This window comes from Homo sapiens, chromosome 17 (assembly GCF_000001405.40).
Source record: "Homo sapiens chromosome 17, GRCh38.p14 Primary Assembly".
Lineage (NCBI taxonomy): Eukaryota > Metazoa > Chordata > Mammalia > Primates > Hominidae > Homo > Homo sapiens.
The window spans coordinates 21,126,336-21,144,981 of record NC_000017.11 but is presented as its reverse complement, the minus strand read 5'-3'; the positions used below and the strand labels follow the sequence as shown (position 1 = coordinate 21,144,981).

The following is an 18,646-nucleotide window of genomic DNA, read 5'->3' as shown; positions in this document are numbered from 1 at the left end:
ATTCCTTTGGAAATCTGATTATTACTATGTCTGCTAAAAGGTAAGTATATACAAAATTGTGGAAATGATTTCAGGAGACCTACAAAACTCTTGAAGCCCATCTGTACACTCCAAGTTACAATACCTACTTTTATTGGAAAATATTATTATTATTATTATTTTTTGAGATAGAGTCTCACTCTGTCACCCAGGCTGGAGGGCAGTGGCGTGATCTGGGATCACTGCAACATCTGCCTCCTGGGTTCAAGCGGTTCCTCTGCCTCAGCTTCCCACGTAGCTGGGATTACAGGCACGCACCACTATGCCTGGCTAATTTTTGTATTTTTAGTAGAGACAGCGTTTCACCATGTTGGCCAGGCTGGTCTTGAACTCCTGACCTTAGGTGATCCACCCACCTTGGCCTCTCAGAGTGCTGGGATTACAGGCGTGAGTCACCATGCCCAGCCTGGAAAATCCTTCTGCAATGCAAATATTCACCATTTAAACTTGGGTGAATCAGTAAACCTGGGTTTTCATAAATCTAGATTCCTTAAACTAAGGTAGTCCAGCATGACAAATGAAATGCTTGTTAGTTTTATAGTTACTGCATGTTGGAGCAACTTATTTGGAGTAAAAATGTTGCCACCATTTACTTCCTCTGTTTGATTTGGGAACTTATCCCCTTTGGGCCCCAGTTTTCTCACCTCCAGAATGAGTAGATTCTCATTCTACCTGCATCTCTAGGCACTTATAAGATAAGACGTAAAGAGGTAACAGTTCCTCATTCACTATAAAGCATTACATGTTGAATGGAGTCTGCTGGAATGATCTGTCCTCAGACCTGTCCTCAGCTGCTACAAGCATCCTCTACTGCTGCATGTCTACATCAGGTGAGTGTTTCTCAACCTGATAGTAAGAAATTAGATCATGAGAAAGCCCAGAATTGTCTGGAGCCTCCTGCCATAGCTCTTAGAACCCTTGGTTGCACTTGACCTGTCCACAGGTGGTCTCTCTCTGGTGGCCTAAGAAAGGCCACTTGATTCATCTCTCTGTTTCCTGTGCCATGCACAAGCTTGATGCTGAATAAACATCTGAAATGATAAGCAAATGAAAAGCAGATGTGAAAAAGAGCAAACACTTTTAACATGTTAGGCTCCCTCGCTGTAATCTTCTCGTTTTCAGTAACTGGGATTTCAGCACCCCAATTGCTACCCCGAAGAGTCAGCAGTCAGCAATAACTACAACTCTTTTGTGCAAGCTGCCAGATTGGATCCTCAGAAGGGGCACACACAGGTATATGAGAACCACTATTTTACTATCATAATTTGTAAATCTCGTGGGTTAAAATGAGAGGAAAAAAACTGACCCTCTGTAAATACTTGACAATTGATAGGGAGAGAGGAACTATGCTCCTTTCAGGTGCTTTTTATATATTACAAAATGCTGTAATGTCACAATCCTTCATTCCTTTGAAAATGTTGTAGAAAACACTATATATGCCAACTTCACAAATCTGAAGTACATTTTTATTTCTAATATAATTAACATTTTGCCCATCCTGTGGCTATTTCTCACATGACAGCTTTGAGTGAAACAATATTACACAGATGTCCAAATCATACTTTAAAAGCAAGTAATTTTGGATAGACACAGTGGCTCACGCCTGTAATCCCAGCATTTTGGGAGGCCAAGGCTGCAGATCACTTGAGATCAGGAGTTCAAGACCAGCTTGGCCAACAGGGTGAAACCCCATCTCTACTAAAAATACAAAAATTAGGCTGGGTGCGGTGGCTCACACCTGTAATCCCAGCACTTTGGGAAGCCGAGGTGGGCGGATCACCTGAGGTCGAGTTCGAGACTAGCCTGGCCAACATGGTGAAACCCTGTCTCTACTAAAAATACAAAAATTAGCTGGGCGTGGTGGCAGGTGCCTGTAATCCTAGCTGCTCAGGAGGCTGAGGCAAGAGAATCACTTGAACCCAGGAGGTGGAGGTTGTGATGAGCCAAGATTGTGCCACGGCACTCCAGTCTGGGCAACATAGCAAGACGCCACCTCAAAACAAACATACAAACAAAACCCCAAGTAATTTTTAGCCTATTACTGTGAAAGGAAAATATCTTGGGCTCCTTCAAGCTAGGAACTGCTCAAGACAAATCTACCTATTCTATTCATAGCCATCCCTTTGCTCACAGAGATAGATGCATATTCTGATTGCCTCCTTTGGAAAGACTTCAGAAACTCAAAAGAATGTTATCAATTGTCTCTCACCTACCTGTGACCTGGAAGCCCCCAGGGTAACGGCGGGGCGGGGGAGGGGGGTGAGGGGGTGGGAGAGCTTGCTTGCTTTGAGTTGTCCCTGCATTTCTGGATGGAACTAATGTACTTCTTACATATACTGATTGATGTCTCATGTCTTCCTAAAATATATAAAACTAAGCTGTTCCCCAACCACCTTGGGCACATGTCTTCAGGACTTTCTGAGGCTGTGTCATGGGCACATCCTCTGAAGGAAGAGAGAGACCCTCTCATATTGTTTTATATTGTTTTATACTCAGAAAAGGAAAGAGAAGCGAAACTAAAGACAGGTAGCCCGGTGCCTAGGAACCAGACCGGAAACCAGGCCTGGGCCTGCCTGACCTAAGCCTGGTAGTTAAAATTCGACCCCTGACCTAGCAACTGATGTTATCTATAGATTCCAGACACGGTATGGAAAGACACTGTGAAACCTCCCGTTCTGTTCTGTTTCACTCTGACCACCGGTGCTTGCAGCCCCTGTCACGTACCCTCTGGCTTGCTCAATCGATCATGACCCTCTCACGTGGACCCCCTTAGAGTTGTGAGTCCTTAAAAGGGACAGAAGTTGAGCACCTGAAGAGCTCGGATTTTAAGACACTAGCCTGCCGATGCTCCCAGCTGATGAAAGCCACTCCCTTCACTATCTTGGTGTCTGAGGGGTTTTGTCCGCAGCTTGTCCTGCTACACCTCAACCTTGGCAAAATAAACTTTCTAAATTAACTGAGACCTGTCTCAGATTTTCTGGGTTCACATTTTGGTAACCATGGGGGTATTCTGAGTGGAGATGCCCTTGACCTTTGACAAATTTCCTATTGGTGCTTGGTACCAGCATCAGCTACCTTTATGGCACAAACCAATAGGACGATTTGCTGGGATCTGAGAGCACTCCTTCCAGAGAATCCCTGATCTCCCAAAATTTGATCGAGATCTAAAGTTTATTTTGCTGTATAACTCCTCTTTTTTTTTTTGGAGTTTTACCTGCTTCCAGCACAAGGCAAGTGATTTTCCTGCTTCCATAATGATGGAAGGCAGTAGTAACTCCTTTGTGGAGTTTGAGATGAGGTTGTTTTTTTTTTTTTTTTTTTTTGCTTTCTTGCTGGTAGAAACCAGTCTTCAGCCTGAGACTCATCCCTAGGTAAGTAACTGAACTGGGGTTTGTCTTGGTTAAAGTTAATATTAACAACTAACTGGTCGTAATTCCTCCTTACCATTGGAGCGCTCAGTGATCCTATTGCTGTTTTGTGTGTGTGTTTGTTTTTGCTATTTGTTCCTGTCTGAAGTTGTTAAGGAACCTAATTCTAGTTCAGAGATGCATTCTAAAGGCTCTTCCCTATTGCTTTTTCTCTCAAATTTAATGTTAATTCAGTTTTTCTGTGTGCATTTGTGTGAGAAATTGAACTGCTGTTTTCATATGTTAATGAGAGACTGAGTTTTGTCAGTTGAGAAGAAAAAGGGTGTTTTGCTCCTCCCAGCCAGAAGGCACCCCTGGGTGACCGGTGGCCTCCTGGGGGTGTCTGGGGGTTAAGTTCCGCCCCCGACAATGACATGCAGCAGGCTTGCAGGGAAATCCCCAACAGAAATTAATTTTTAAAATGGCTCGTCCAGGAATCGCATATAAGGACTGATCACCCAGTGTTCTGAGCCCTCTCTGAGGTCACAGACCTCTGGAGAGAGAAACTGAGACATGTAAAAGGGTGGAAGCGACTCAGTGCTGACATACTGTGTAGTCCTGCCCACAAGGAGCACATATTGATCCACCACACAAAAACCCTAGGCTACAAGCTCAGTTCCCCCTTTTAAGAAAAAAAAGAAAAAGGGCAGGAAGCAAATAATCGAAGAATGAGGAGAAAAGGAGAATGACCCCTTTTGAGCATTCCATAGGTTTTATGGCACCTCTACTTGCCAAAGTTTATGTAAAATGGAAATAATATGGTCTCTGTGCACATTCACATTAAGGAAAAGGAGGCCTAAGGTTGACCTGCAAACTACAGAGTTCCTAAGTACTCTTTTTCTCTATTTTTTCTTTTCTGCCTGCTCTCAATCTGCTGTTATTTTTCTATTAAGATAAAAACCACTGTTTAGATCCAACAAGATATTTTTGCAAGCCAGTAAATTTCTATTTATCTAGTGGCAAAAAGTTCTGAAGTAAAAGCTATAGGGTGTCAGGGTGTGTGTGTGTGTGTGTGTGTGTGTGTGTGTGTGTGTGTGTGTGTGTGTGTGTGTGTGTATTTAAAAGGCCTTTAAAATTTCTATAACCCAAACTTTTTCTCTCCGCACCTTATAATGTAAACTTTGCTATTTGACTTTCACCTGAGTTGGTTCCTTTAACATGCAAATTTAAGGCTACGTAGCTGACAGCTGCCCAGGGTTGTAAAACAAGTTATCAAGAATCTGAGGCCGGGTGCAGCTGTAATTCCAGCACTTTGGGAGGCCAAGGCGGGTGGATCACGAAGTCAGGAGATCGAGACCATCCTGGCTAACATGGTGAAACCCCATCTTACTAAATATACAAAAAATTAGCTGGGTGTAGTGGTGGGCGCCTGTAGTCCCAGCTAGGGGGAGGCTGAGGCAAGAGAATGGCGTGAACCCAGGGGGCGGAGCTTGCAGTGAGCAGAGATCACGCCACCGCACTCCAGCCTGGGCGACAGAGTGAGACTCTGTCTCAAAAAAAAAAAAAAAAAAAAGAATCTGAAAGTCTGATAGGAAAAAAAAGGTTTCTATGAATCTACAAAATGTACTTCTATTGGCATGCCTATATGTCTGTGTATGTGTTGTGTACACAATGTTTCACTACTAAAAATACATATAAAAGAGCTCTAGGTAATTGGCTTTAAAAAAGCACTTAAATCAGATACTAAAAAAGACTACTCAAATGCTTTTTCAAGTTCATGTAACTTAAGTAGACTCTTTAATAAAAAGCAAGTTTTAAAATTATTGGGAAACATTAGAAATGTCTTAACAATTGCCAGCATTCATTTTTGCTTGCATTTATTAATCAAGCAATTTCTTTTATTTATTTATTTTTTTTTTTTGAGATGGAGTCTCGCTCTGTCACCCAGGGCTGAAGTGCAGTGGCGCGATCTTGGCTCACTGCAACTTCTGCCTCCCAGGTTCAAGTGATTCTCCTGCCTTAGCCTCCTGAGTAGCTGGGATTACAGGCACGTGCCACCACGCCCAGCTAATTTTTGTATTTTTAGTAGAGACAGGGTTTCACCACATTGGTCAGGCTGGTCTCAAACTCCTGACCTTGTGATCTGCCTGCCTCAGCCTCCCAAAGTGCTGGGATTACAGGCGTGAGCCACCATGCGTGGCCTAATCAAGCAGTTTCATAGTTCTCTGCCAGATACATTAAGGTGTCAAAATATGGCACGGGGGTTACAAAACATTAAACCCAGCCCAAAACAGAATGATCTTCGCTTGTGTAATTTTTAATAAATAAGACATTAATACTGGTTTAATGAAAATAGCTGCATCTTAAATATGGTAAAATTACCATAACTTCTAACCTCATGGCTTTAGGCAGTCTAGTCCACAGGCAATAAGGAGGTTTCTTTTGGGAAAGGACTGTTATCATCTTTGTTTCAAAGCTAAACTATAAGTTCCTCCCAAAGTTAGTTCAGCCTATGCCCAGGAATGAACAAGGACAGATTGGAGGTTAAGAGCAAGATGAAGTTTAGTTAGGTCAAATCATTTTTCACTGTTACAATTTTGCAATGGTGGTTTCATAACTTTAAATTATGACTATCATAGTTTTCATAAATAATGTACGTAAACAAATAAAATAATTAGGTAAATGTAATGGGATAAATACCTGTAGATAAACTGGTCATAATTTAGAATATAAAGTTATATTAAATTAAATAATAGGTATTTAATTATTTGGGTATTTTCCAATAAATATATATTGTAGGAAAACATTCTTGCTAAAAAAACAGAAGGATGTGTCCTTTTTAAAAAAGGGTGAACAAGTTTTGTCTAATTCACAGCTTACTTAAAGGTTACATATAAAACAAGGTAAAAGGAACCAGAAAATAAAAAGAGATGTAAAGAAAGTTTTAAAAATAAATAGGATTTTTGTATGTGTGGTAAGAAAGCTTAAAGAAAAATAATTTTACGAGAAAGAATATTGTATGGTAAATTTAGTCCTAAAATAAAATGACTGGTTGTTTAAGAAGGAGGGATGTTGCCAGGCGCGGTGGCTCACACCTGTAATCCCAGCACTTTGGGAGGCAGAGGCAGGTGGATCACAAGGTCAGGAGATCAAGACCATCCTGGCTAACATGGCGAAACCCCATCTCTACTAAAAATAGAAAAAATTAGTGGGGCATGGTGGTGGCAGCCTGCAGTCCCAGCTACTCAGGAGGCTGAGGCAGGAGAATGGTGTGAACCCGGGAGGCGGAGCTTGGAGCTTGCAGTGAGCCAAGATCGCGCCACTGCACTCCAGTGTAGGCAACAGAGAGAGACTCCATCTCAAAAAAAAAAAAAAAAAAAAAAAGAAGGAGGGATGGATGTTCAAGACAAATGAGAAAGTCCAAGCATGTCACGAATGGTCAGTATAAGTCGCAATAAATATATGTGTGTGTGTGTGTGTGTGTGTGTGTGTGTATATATATATATATATATATATATATTTTTTTTTTAAAAGAGGCCGGGCACCTGTAATCCCAGAACTATGGGAGGCCTGTAATCCCAGAAATATGTAATCCCAGAACTATGGGAGGCTGAGGCAAGCAGATCACGAGGTCGGGAGATCGAGACCACCCTGGCTAACATGGTGAAATGCCATCTCTACTAAAAATACAAAAAATTAGCCAGAGGCTGGGTGCGGTGGCTGTAATCCCAGAACTATGGGAGGCCGAGGCAAGCAGATCACGAGGTTGGGAGATTGAGACCATCCTGGCTAACATGGTGAAATGCCGTCTCTACTAAAAATACAAAAAATTAGCCAGAGGCCGGGTGCGGTGGCTCACATCTGTAATCCCAGCACTTTGGGAGGCCGAGGCAGTCGGATCACCTGAGGTTGGGAGTTCGAGACCAGCCTGACCAACATGGAGAAACCCCGTCTCTACTAAAAATATAAAACTAGCCTGGCGTGGTGGCACATGCCTCTAATCCCAGCTACTTGGGAGGCTCAGGCAGGAGAATCACTTGAACCCAGGAGGCGGAGGTTGCAGTGAGCCAATATTATGCCATTACACTCCAGCCTGGGCAACAAGAGCAAAACTTCATCTCAAAAAAAAAAAAAATTAGCCAGGCGTGGTGGCAGGTGCCTGTCCCAGCTACTCCGGAGGCTGAGGCAGGAGGATGGTGTGAACCCGGTAAGTGGAGCTTGCAGTGAGCTGAGATTGTGCCACTGCACTCCAGCCTGGGTGACAGAGCAAGACTCTGTCTCAAAAAAAAAAAAAAAAAAAGACAAAAAAGAAAAATGGGCAGGCCCAGTGGCTCACGCCTATAATTCCTATAATTCCAGCAGTTTAGGAGGCCAAGGCAGGTGGATCACCTGAGGTCAGGAGTTCAAGACCAGCCTGGCCAGAATAGTGAAACCCTGTCTCTACTAAAAATACACAAATTACTCAGGCATGATGGCAGGCGCCTGTAATCCCAGCTACACAGGAGACTGAGACAGGAGAACTGCATGAACCCTGGGGGCAGAGGTTGCAGTGAGCTGAGATTACACCACCGCACTCCAGCCTGGGTGACAGAGTGAGACTCTGTCTCACAAAAAAAAAAAAGAAATAAAAATAAAAAAAATTTTAAAAGCCAAAAAACTTTAATATGACCAAGTTGCCATATTATTATTAAGTTTTGGTTTGCTTAGAAATAAAAAAACTGAGATTAAAAAACTTTTTTTGACTGGGTGCGGTGGCTCACACCTGTAATCCCAGCACTTTGGGAGGCTGAAACGGGCAGATCACCTGAGGTAGGGAGTTCAAGACCAGTCTGGCTAACATGGTGAAACCCTGTCTCTACTAAAAATACAAAAATTAGCTGGGCATAGTGGCACACACCTGTAATCCCAGCTACTCAGGAGTCTGAGGCAGGAGAATGAATCGCTTGAACCTGGGAGGCGGAGGTTGCAGTGAGCCAAGGTCGGGCCACTGCACTTCAGTCTGGGCAACAGAGCAAGGCTCCATCTCAAAACAAACAAACAAACAAACAAAAAAACCCACAAAACCTTTTCTTTTTTTTTTCTTTTGAGACGGAGTTTCATTCATTGCCCAGGCTGGAGTGCAAAGGTGTGATCTCGGCTCACCACAACCTCCACCTCCCAGGTTCAAGTGATTCAGCCTCCATGTATCTTCCTGTATGTGCTTTTAAAGTCCTTGTGACATTGAGTTACAGGGCTTTGAGTCCTGGATCTAAAACAGGACACCAAGTCTTGCTAAATCTTTTTCTTTTTTTTTTTAATGGAGTTTTGCTCTTGTTGCCCAGGCTGGAGTGCAATGGTGTGATCTCGGCTCACTGCAACCTCCACCTCCTGGGTTCAAGTGATTTTCCTGCCTCAGCCTCTCGAGTAGCTGAGATTACAGGTGTGCACCACCACACCCAGCTAATTTTTTTGGTATTATTAGTAGAGACGGGGTTTCACCATGTTGGCCAGGCTAGTCTCGAACTCCTGACCTCAGGTGATCCACCCACCTCGGCCTCCCAAAGTGCTGGGATTATAGGCATGAGTCACCATCCCCGGCCAGTCTTGCTAAATCTTAAACACTGACTGCAATTAAAGCCTTGTCTTCAGGCCCCATAGAAGATGCCCATCAAAATAAACTGCATTCCTGACACACAAGGCAAAAAGTTAAAGCTATTCAACTCCTCAAAGCCCAGGGACTATTGTGGAAGAGGTGGGCACGTAAGATTGTAACGGCCAATTTTGAAAGATAAAATAAGTTCAGTTTCTCTATAAATTAATTATTAATGTCAAAGGCACACTGATGCAAGACCAGCATATGGGCCCCTGTGTCAGATTAGTTAGGTTTTCTTGAAGCATTAACCAACTCCTTAATAAAGGTTATAAAAGGCTTATGGAAGCTATATCTTACGGTCAAGATTAAAATCTTATAGATTATTTATAAAATTTTAAAAAACAAATTTAATTGGCTTCATGCTGGTTTTATTAAGGCTTATTGTTTGCAAAATTAATTCTTCTCTCTCAACAAATAAAGGTTTTCACCTTTTTGTTTTTGAAATCCTTATCATTTTGGTTAAATGGATGACTTATTTTACAAAGACCTGTGATCCTATTTTGTGATATCAAGTGTTTAAAACCTTTGATATTTGACAAACTTTCCCAAATCAAATAATAAATTATGTCTTTTTCTGACCTAATTAATCCTTTAAGACATTAGAGGTTCCCTAAAGTCCAAAAAATAACATAATTTGGCTTATCTGGTCCAAAAATTATACAGGAGGCATTGTCAAATATGAAATGGTGTTTGGTTTCCTTTGGGCTGTATTTGTATAAATATGTTATTGGTATGTGTTCCAAAATTATGTGAAACTCCTATAATTCTGATATAACTTAGTATACATTATCAGTAATAATCATAAAATTATTGTGTGTCACAGAGGTAACAAATTTCCTTGTCAATTGTCTTTGACTATGGCTGCCCTAAAACTTTTTGTCATCCACAGACAATTGTTGTCTTGTTTTGGTCCTCTTTAGAAGGTGATTTTATAATCAGCTACAAAACTCTAACAGGTGCTCTTGAATGCAGGTTTCTCATAACTTTAGAGATTGTGATATCAGAATAGAGGAAAAACTTCCAGGACTCACGGAGAGCTAAAATGTTCATGAGTATCAAGCAGAACAGGAATTAACTGCATGGACTGAATTTTTGCTTAAAATGTTTGCTGATCCTTTGTTTTGTTTTTCAGAGTCTCAAAACTTTTCTTTTGAGCTACTGACAGCTTTTAACAATTCAGCATACTCCTATGAACAAAATTTGGAACATATTTGTTTCTCTCTACCTGATTACTCCAGAATCTGGAAACTATTTATGAGTATTCTTATGGCAATACAGTTATTTGCATCAGTGCTGTAAGACTGTGTTTTCATTTGTAGCAGGACACAATTGGAGAAACTGGTTATTTTACCAAGGCTTTGACTGGAATGGAGTGCTTTCCTTTAAGGAATCAAACGTGACATATAGAGCCAGTAAAGCCCCTGGAAAATCTGGCCTCATATTTTGTGTATACAGTCCATGTACAGGGTTTCTGACCTGTGGTAAGTAAAGAATGTCACTTTCTGACAGTCCCAGAAGCCCCAGGTTTATCTTGGAACCTAAAGAGGTGAGGAAATTCACCCAGCTCATAGGTATTTGATGACACAAATCATGGCTCAGCTTTAGAAAGTCTTATCTGAGATTCCTCCTATGGAACAAGTTCCATCAAAGCAATTTAAAAGTGTATGTAAAAAAAAATTATTCTTGCTGCACTGTATACAAATAATTAGGTCAAGTATAATAAAGCAAACCAGTCCTAGCGTGACTTGTCTTTGGCAAAATTGGGAAACCAGAGAGAGAAAAATTATGTTTCAAAACTATAGTAAACCTGTTGTTGGAGTCTAGTCTTGCCTAATGTTTTTCCAATTTTTATTATTTTCTACAGTTTGAACTGAATTCTAATTTTTCTTGGCTATAAGTCTTCAAAATAATGTTTTCAGTTTTTTTCCTTTTTTTTTTCCATTTTTCCTAATTTGGAGTCACTGAAAACTAAGCTGTGCTTTCTTAAAGCCCTGCAAACTGAAGCCAGACAACTTACACTTCAGAAGAAAATAATAGCAACCTATTTACATACATAAGCCACTTTCATACCTGCCTACTAATGTGTGGACTTCAGAGTAATGTGGCCAATATCGATTTTTCCAGGATTGTTCTTTTGTTTGTTGTTGTTTTTCTCCCTTCCTCCCCCCATTTTCTCTTCACAGGACATGAGACTTCACAACCTGCTAAGAATGAGCTTTCAGGACCTAACTAACTAGGAATAAACCATCCTAACCATGAGAGATCAGATGAAACTTGAGACCAGAGATTCATTTTCTTCTAAAATGCTTTCTCCAAATGATTTTAAAAAAGAAAAGTGGGGAAATGTGAAAGGAAAATATCTTGGGCTCCTTCTAGCTGGGAACTGTTCAGGGCAAACCTGCCTCCCATTCTATTCAAAGTCATCCCTCTGCTCACAGAGATAGATGCATATTCCGATTGCCTCCTTTGGAAGTCTCATCAGAAACTCAAAAGAATGCAACCATTTGTCTCTCACCTATCTGTGACCTGGAAGCCCCTGAAGGGGGGCCCCACTTTGAGTGGTCCTGCCTTTCTAGATGGAATTAAAGTACTTCTTACATATATTGATTGATGTCTCATGTCTCCCTAAAATGTATAAAATCAAGTTGTGCCCTGACCACCCTGGGCACATGTCATCAGGACCTCCTGAGGCTGTGTCATGGGCACATCCTCAACCTTGGCAAAATAAACTCTCTGAATTAACTAAGACCTGTCTCAGATTTTCTGGGTTCACAGTACCATACATGGCTATTGAAAAGGAAAAATATTAATAACAATTACTAACTTTTTTAAGTATTTGCAATGTGCCAGACACTGAAATACACATTCTCCATACCCATGATCTCATTTCATCCTCACAGCAATCCGGAGGTAGGTATGACAGTTATTTTCATTTGCTAAATAAGAAAAGTACGTGAAGTCACATGGCTAGCAAATGGTGGAAAAGAGATTTCAACCAACGTACTCAGACTCTGAAGCCCACATTCTTAACTCTTAAGTGCATCAAATAGGGGGTCATGTAAAAAAAAAAATCCTTTAGCTGGAACTTTAAACAGGAAGGATTCTAATACTGTCTAAGAGATGAAGAGATCCCTAAGCTTAGCTCTAATCACCTTGTTATAAGAAGTTTAGCCTAAAGCTGCCTCCTTACATATTTTAAGTTTAGCCTAAATGTTCCTCCATAGCTAGTGACCTGTAACCTAACTGGATGTGCAAACAAACTTTAACCTACTCTTGTAACAAGTAGCCCAGTCTCAGCCAATCACAGCAGCCCAGTTTCAGCCAGTCATAGGCAGCCAACTGCTCAAATAAGGCAAACACTAGGCTGCAACCAATCTAGCTCTTTCTACACCTCACTTCCCTGTTTTTTTTTTGTTTTTTTTTTTTTTTTTTTGAGACAAGGTCTCCCTCTGCCACCTAGGCTGGGGTGCAGTGGTGTGATCATAGCTCACTGCAGCCTCAACCTCCCAGGTTCAAGCGATCCTCCCACCTCAGTCTCCTGAGTAGCTAGGACCACAGGCATGAGTGGTACACCTGCATATCTCTATCTATCTATCTATCTATATATATATATATTTTTTTTTTTTTAAGAGATGGGGTCTCCCTATGTTGCCCAGGGTGGTCTCAAACTCCTGGGCTCAAGCAATCCTCCTGCCTTGGCCTCCTAAAGTGCTGGGATTATAGGTGTAAGCCACTGGGCCTGGCCTGTACCTCACTTCCATTTTCTGTATGTCACTTTGCTGTTTCTGTCCACAAATACTATCCAACCATGTAGCTACCCCAGAGTCACTCTGAACCTATTCTAGTTCCAGAGGCTGCTGATCTGCAAATCATTCTTTGTTCAGTTAAACTCTGTTGAATTTAGTTTGTCTGAAGTTTTAACAACTCAAACAGAATACAAAGGCTTCTAAGCAACAATTGAACATAAACAAGTTAGCTGCTTAATAGGAACTCAGTACAGTTTCTTTGATTCAGTTTAGCTAACATTTTAAACCAATCTGGATTATAATGCCATACTCATAGAGAATTCTGCAATGGTAGTTTCTTAATGTAGTAGTATCCAATTTAATGACCACTAAGTGCTGCTCATATAAACTGGAAAAATTTATATCCCCTTCAGAAATTAGTGTTCCTAGTACAAACATAGCCTTACTTAATAAAACACTAGCTAAGTACAGCAAGGAAGCTCAAACCACTGGTAAGCAATATTCAATCAATTTATCAGTCATCTGAACCAGAGCAACTCTATTTTGAATAGAGGCTGGGTAAAATAAGGCTGAGACCTACTGGGCTGCATTCGCAGGTTAGGCATTCTAAATCACAAGATGAGATAGGAGGTCACATAAGATACAGGTCAGAAAGACCTTGCTGATAAAGCAGGCTGAGGTAAAGAAGCCGGCCAAAACCCACCAAATGGAAAATGGCAATGAAAGTGACCTCTGGTCATCCTCACTGCTCATTATATGCTAATTATAAGGCATTAGCTCGCTAAAAGACACTCCTACCAGCACCATAACAGTTTACAAATGCCATGGCAATGTCAAGAAGTTACCCTATATAGTCTACGAAGGGGAGGAACTCTCAGTTCCGGGAATTACCCACCCCTTTCCTAGAAAATTCATGAATAATCCACCCCTTCTTTAGCATATAATCAGGAAATGACCATAAAAGTGGCCAGCCAGCAGCCCTCAGGGCTGCTTTGCCTATGGAGTAGCCATTCTCTTGTTTCTTTACTTTTCTAATAAACTTGCTTTCACTTTTCTCTATGGATTGGCCTCAAATTATTTCTTACACAAGATCCAAGAACCCTCTCTTGAGGTCTGGATCAAGACTCTTCTCCAGTAGCAAATTCAGTGGCCATCACAGACCTCTCCCTCCACTAAGCAGTTTAAATGGCCAAGCCTCATGTTACTGGGAACTTTAGAAGATAGGAGGGAGAGCTCAGGTAAAATCCTAAGGAATTTGTTGTATTTCCTATCTGGGTGGGTGGCAAGAAGCTTTCAAACTGAATTTACACACCATTCAATCCCAATTTTCACCCTCATGCTTATGGCCTTCCAGAATAGAGAGTTCATTTTTGCATTAAAATAACATTGGCTACCAAAGAAAGGTTTCTTATGTGTATAATGGGGTGGGAATGAATAATTCCTACACCATCCAACATTATGGATGTTGCTCTAGTCCAACATTTTACTGTACTGTAAGTAAATTTTTTTTTTAGTTGTCATGCAAACATATAGTAAAAATTTTAAAACTGAATTTTCACTGTTTCCAAAGGGAAAGAGATCTTCTCTCCTTCCTTTTCCTCACAGCATTTCTTTGAAAAACCCAGTATTTATAAATTATTCCTCTGTCCCTTTGATATGTATGCAAATCTTTTTAAAGGCTAAATAAACTACCCCTAGCTTAGCTTGTTTAAACCCAGTAAATACAGTAAAACCCAGGACTGTTTTTCTGAAGGGCCTGGAACCCCCCCTTTACAAACGTACGTACATACATACGTAAGTTTATTTATTTATTTATTTATTTATTTTTTGAGGTGGAGTCTCACTCTGTAGCCCAGGCTGGAGTACAGTGACACAATCTCGACTCATTGCAACCTCTGCTTCCCAGTTCAAGCGATTCTCCTGCCTCAGCCTCCTGAGTAGCTGGGATTACAGGCACACGCCACCACACATTTTTGTATTTTTAATAGAGACGGGGTTCGCCATGTTGGCCAGGCTGGTCTCGAACTCCTGACCTCAGGTGATCTGCCCTCCTCAGCCTCCCAAAGTACTGGGATTACAGGCGTGAGCCACCGTGCTCAGCCAAACCCCCTATTTTAAATGGAAATATCCAGGAAGACAATGCCCCAGCCCTATCCCTATCACTGTGGAAGTTTAGCCTAGGCACCTCAACTACTTGTTTTATCATAGAGCTGTTTCATGTTTTCCTTTGGAAAAAAGTAACTAGGTAGCACAGATGACCAACCCAATTACCAGGTGAATTTAGAATGAACTATGAAAACATGTACAGCAAATGGTGCTGTCAAGTCTTCTTATAAGAGGACAAATTACCATTAATCTTGAGACTACATAATGGGTTGTATCTGCTCAGCTGCATACAAATAAGTGGTGGGATTTCTTTTCTGAAAGAAACTGCATTAGCATATTATCCATAATACATTCCAGTCTGGTTTAATGCTTATTTTTTTCTTTTTCTTTTTTTTTTTTTTTTTTTTGAGTCAGGGTCTTACTCTGCTGCCCAGGCTGGAGTGCCGTAGTATTATCACAGTTTACTGTAGCCGCAAACTCCTGGGCTCAAGTGATCCTCCTGACTCAGCCTTCTGAGTAACTGGGACAACAGGTACACACCAGCACGCCTAGATAATTTTTTATTTTTTGTAGAAATGGGGTCTCCCTATGTTGCCCAGGCTAGTCTCAAACTCCTGGCCTCACATGATCCTCCCACCTCAGCCTCCCAAAGCGCTCGGATTATAGGTGTGAGCCACCACCTACAGCCTCACAGGGGTCTTTAAGTAACAAGATACAAGCTCCTCCTAGTCTCAAGACCTCACACATGCCCTTCCCTCCTCCTGTTAGCTCTTTGTCCAATTTAACTCCAACTCAGTCCTTTAAGTCTCAGCTAAATATTATTTTCTTGGGAAAGCCTTCCCTGTCTCTCCTCATTTCCCCCTCCGCATGCCGGTGACTCCATTATGTATCCTCACAGCACCCTCTACTGTCCTCCACAGCATGCATCACAATCGTAATTAATATTTAGTTTTATTTATATATTTACTATCTCCCTTGCTAGATTTATAAGCAATTTAAAGACAGGGGCTTTATCTGTTTTGATCATCATTGTATCCACAACACCCAGCACAATGCTGGTACACTGTAAACGTTCAATAAGTATCTGAAGGAATGAATGAAATTTGTAGCTAAGCGCTAGGTTCTGGAGTGACATGGCATTGGATCGGCCTTTACTAGCTCTATGCCTTTGTTGTTGTTTGTTGTTGTTGTTGTTGTTGTTTGAGACAGGGTGTCACTTTTTTTTTTTTTTTTTTTTTAAGACGGAGTCTCCTCGCTCTTGTCGCCCAGGCTGGAATGCAGTGGCGGCATCTCGGCTCACTGCAACCTCTGCCTCCCAGGTTCAAGCGATTCTCCTGCCAAAGCCTCCCGAGTAGCTGGGATTACAGGCGCCCACCACCACGCCCGGCTAATTTTTGTTTGTTTGTTTGTTTTGAGACAGAGTCTCACTATGTCGCCCAGGCTGGAGTGCAGCGGCGGGATCTCGGCTCACTGCAAGCTCCGCCATCCGGAGCACGCCATTCTCCTGCCTCAGCCTCCCTAGTAGCTGGGACTACAGACGCCCGCCACCAAGCCCAGCCAATTTTTTTGAATTTTTTTAGTAGAGACGGGGTTTCACCGTGTTAGCCAGGATGGTCTCGAGGTCCTGACCTCGTGATCCGCCCGCCTTGGCCTCCCAAAGTGCTGGAAATACAGGCGTGAGCCACCGCGCCCAGCCAATTTTTGTATTTTTTAGTAGAGACGGGGTTTCACCACGTTGGCCAGGCTGGTCTCGAACTCCTGACCTCAGGTGATCCGCCCGCCTCAGCCTCCTAAAGTGCTGGGATTACATGTGTGAGCCACTGCGCCCAGCCAAGACAGGGTCTCACTTTGTCACCCAGACTTGAATGCAATGGCGTGATCTCGGCTCACTGCAGCCTGTCTCCCAGGTTCAAGCAATCCACTTGCCTCAGCCCCAACAAATAGCTGGGACTACAGGCGTGTGCTACCTTGCCTGGCTAATAGCTCTATGCCTTTGGATAAACTTCTTAACATCTCTAAGCCCATTTCTCCCTCCATAAATAAAAATTATAGTTCCTATGATTAGGGTTATTACAGGATTGAATAATTCAGTAAAGGGATTAGTACAGTGCCTGTAACATAGCAAACACTCAAAAAATATCAACTATTATTAAGGAATGGAGAAAAGGGGACATGTACATGGTAGGGAAGGCATATTCCACACCCTTGGCAAAGGCACAAACATAGCTTCCATTATGCAAACACACCGTTGCAATCGGCAACAGTGTAAGCAAGAATTCTGCTTACTAAATGTATGAGTGTGTGAAACCCAAACGTTACTTCAAAAGTAACTTCACGATTCTCCAATCACTACATGGAAGGTTTGGAAACTGAAAAAAAGAGCATTATGTGGCTACCATTTGTTGAATACCTACTATGTGCCAGACACCAGCTGAGCACCTTGCACGCGCAGTCTCATTTACGCTTCACAACAACCTTATGAGTGGGCTTGTTACTCCCAAAGTTACAGCTGAAGAAACACTCAGAGTTTAAAACATTTGCCCAAAGCCGCACAGCCAGGAAGCCGCAGAGTAAGTATTGGAAGAGCAAGATATCTCAACCAGCCATTCCCGTGGACGCTCGAGTCAGCACCCTCCTCCTGCCTTCTGAAAAACCGGACTTCCTTTGCTAGTCCTAACTCGCCGTCACTGGCTAAGGTGCCACTGGCCCCCAGCGCTCAACCCTCGGTCCTGCCACTCGCAGACGCTGCGGAGCCTCCCCTACGTCGCGCAGAAATGTGGGAATAAACAGGTTGAAGCCAGGAGCCCTGTGGGCGCGAGGCCTTTCACACACAGCGCCCGGCGCGACACCCATTCCCAGCAGCGGAAACTGGACTCAAGACACCTCGGCGACAGGCGGGTTTCCCCGCCACGCACTCGCCGGAGCCAGGGCTCTGGTCCCAGCGCCTGGGCTGAGTCTTCCTTCAGAGTTCGGCGTCGCGGGGATCCGGAAGCCGCCCAGGGCCCGCGGCCTTAGCTCGACCACTACACCGCTTCCCCTCACCCAAGCCGGGGCGTCGCCTCAGCTCAAGGCCAGACCCTATCGCCTCATCTCGGAGGTTCCTTCTTCCCCAGCCCCTACCTGGTAGCCGGAGAGACCATAGTCAATCAACTTCATCCTCCCGCCTCGGAAGTGACGTGTACGCAGCCGGCGAGGCTCCGTCCAATCCCAGCATTGAGGCTGCGCATGCGCGTTGGGTGGGCGTCCCTCAAGGTGTACACAGGACCCGATGGACCCGAGATCTGATAGGGTCCACCCGCATAACTACAGTGCCTTCATCTTCCGGAGGGAAATTCCGAAGGTCGTGGTTGGTGTTCCGTGGACTTCCGGCGAAGAACACAGTTGGAGAATTCACGATACAGTTATCAAGATGATTATAATGCCACAGTAATCAGAACAGTGTGATAACTGGCACAAAGGTAAAAACAATGAATGAAAAAGAGAGAGACCAGAAACAGACCTGCAGCTATGTAGTCACTTTTTCCTCCTACAAGTAGCCACTGTAATGCAATAAGAAGAGTTTTTTCAATATATAGTGCTAGGTCAATTGAAGGTCGATTGGGGGGAAATGAACCTTGACTCCTATCTCAAGTAAAATAATTCTAGACGGATGGTAGACCTGAATGTGAACAATACAACTCTAGACAATAAAATCGCAGAATATTATGACCATAAGAGAGGAAAATAACGTGTTAGCAGAACACAAAAAGTGCCAGTCCTAAAGGAAAAAGCTGATA

At 42.6% G+C, this 18,646-nt stretch overlaps 1 protein-coding gene across 8 annotated transcripts in view, besides 1 other annotated feature; it reads right to left on the bottom strand.

The window, feature by feature from the left end:
• Positions 1 to 18,018, bottom strand: part of DHRS7B (dehydrogenase/reductase 7B) — a 64,457-nt gene extending 46,439 nt beyond the window's left edge. For all 8 annotated transcript variants that reach the window (XM_047435722.1, XM_011523786.3, NM_015510.5 and 5 more), the window contains exon 1: positions 17,991 to 18,018. In XM_047435722.1, coding sequence (XP_047291678.1) covers positions 17,991 to 18,010 — 20 coding nt within the window. In that variant the 5' untranslated portion in view covers positions 18,011 to 18,018. The remainder of the gene's footprint in view (positions 1 to 17,990) is intronic.
• Positions 17,697 to 18,356: an enhancer, noted in NCBI's record as "active region_11879". NCBI's record gives its function as "activates an Ori minimal core promoter by ATAC-STARR-seq in GM12878 lymphoblastoid cells {active_cell/tissue: GM12878}" and the evidence as "EXISTENCE:reporter gene assay evidence [ECO:0000049][PMID:35858748]".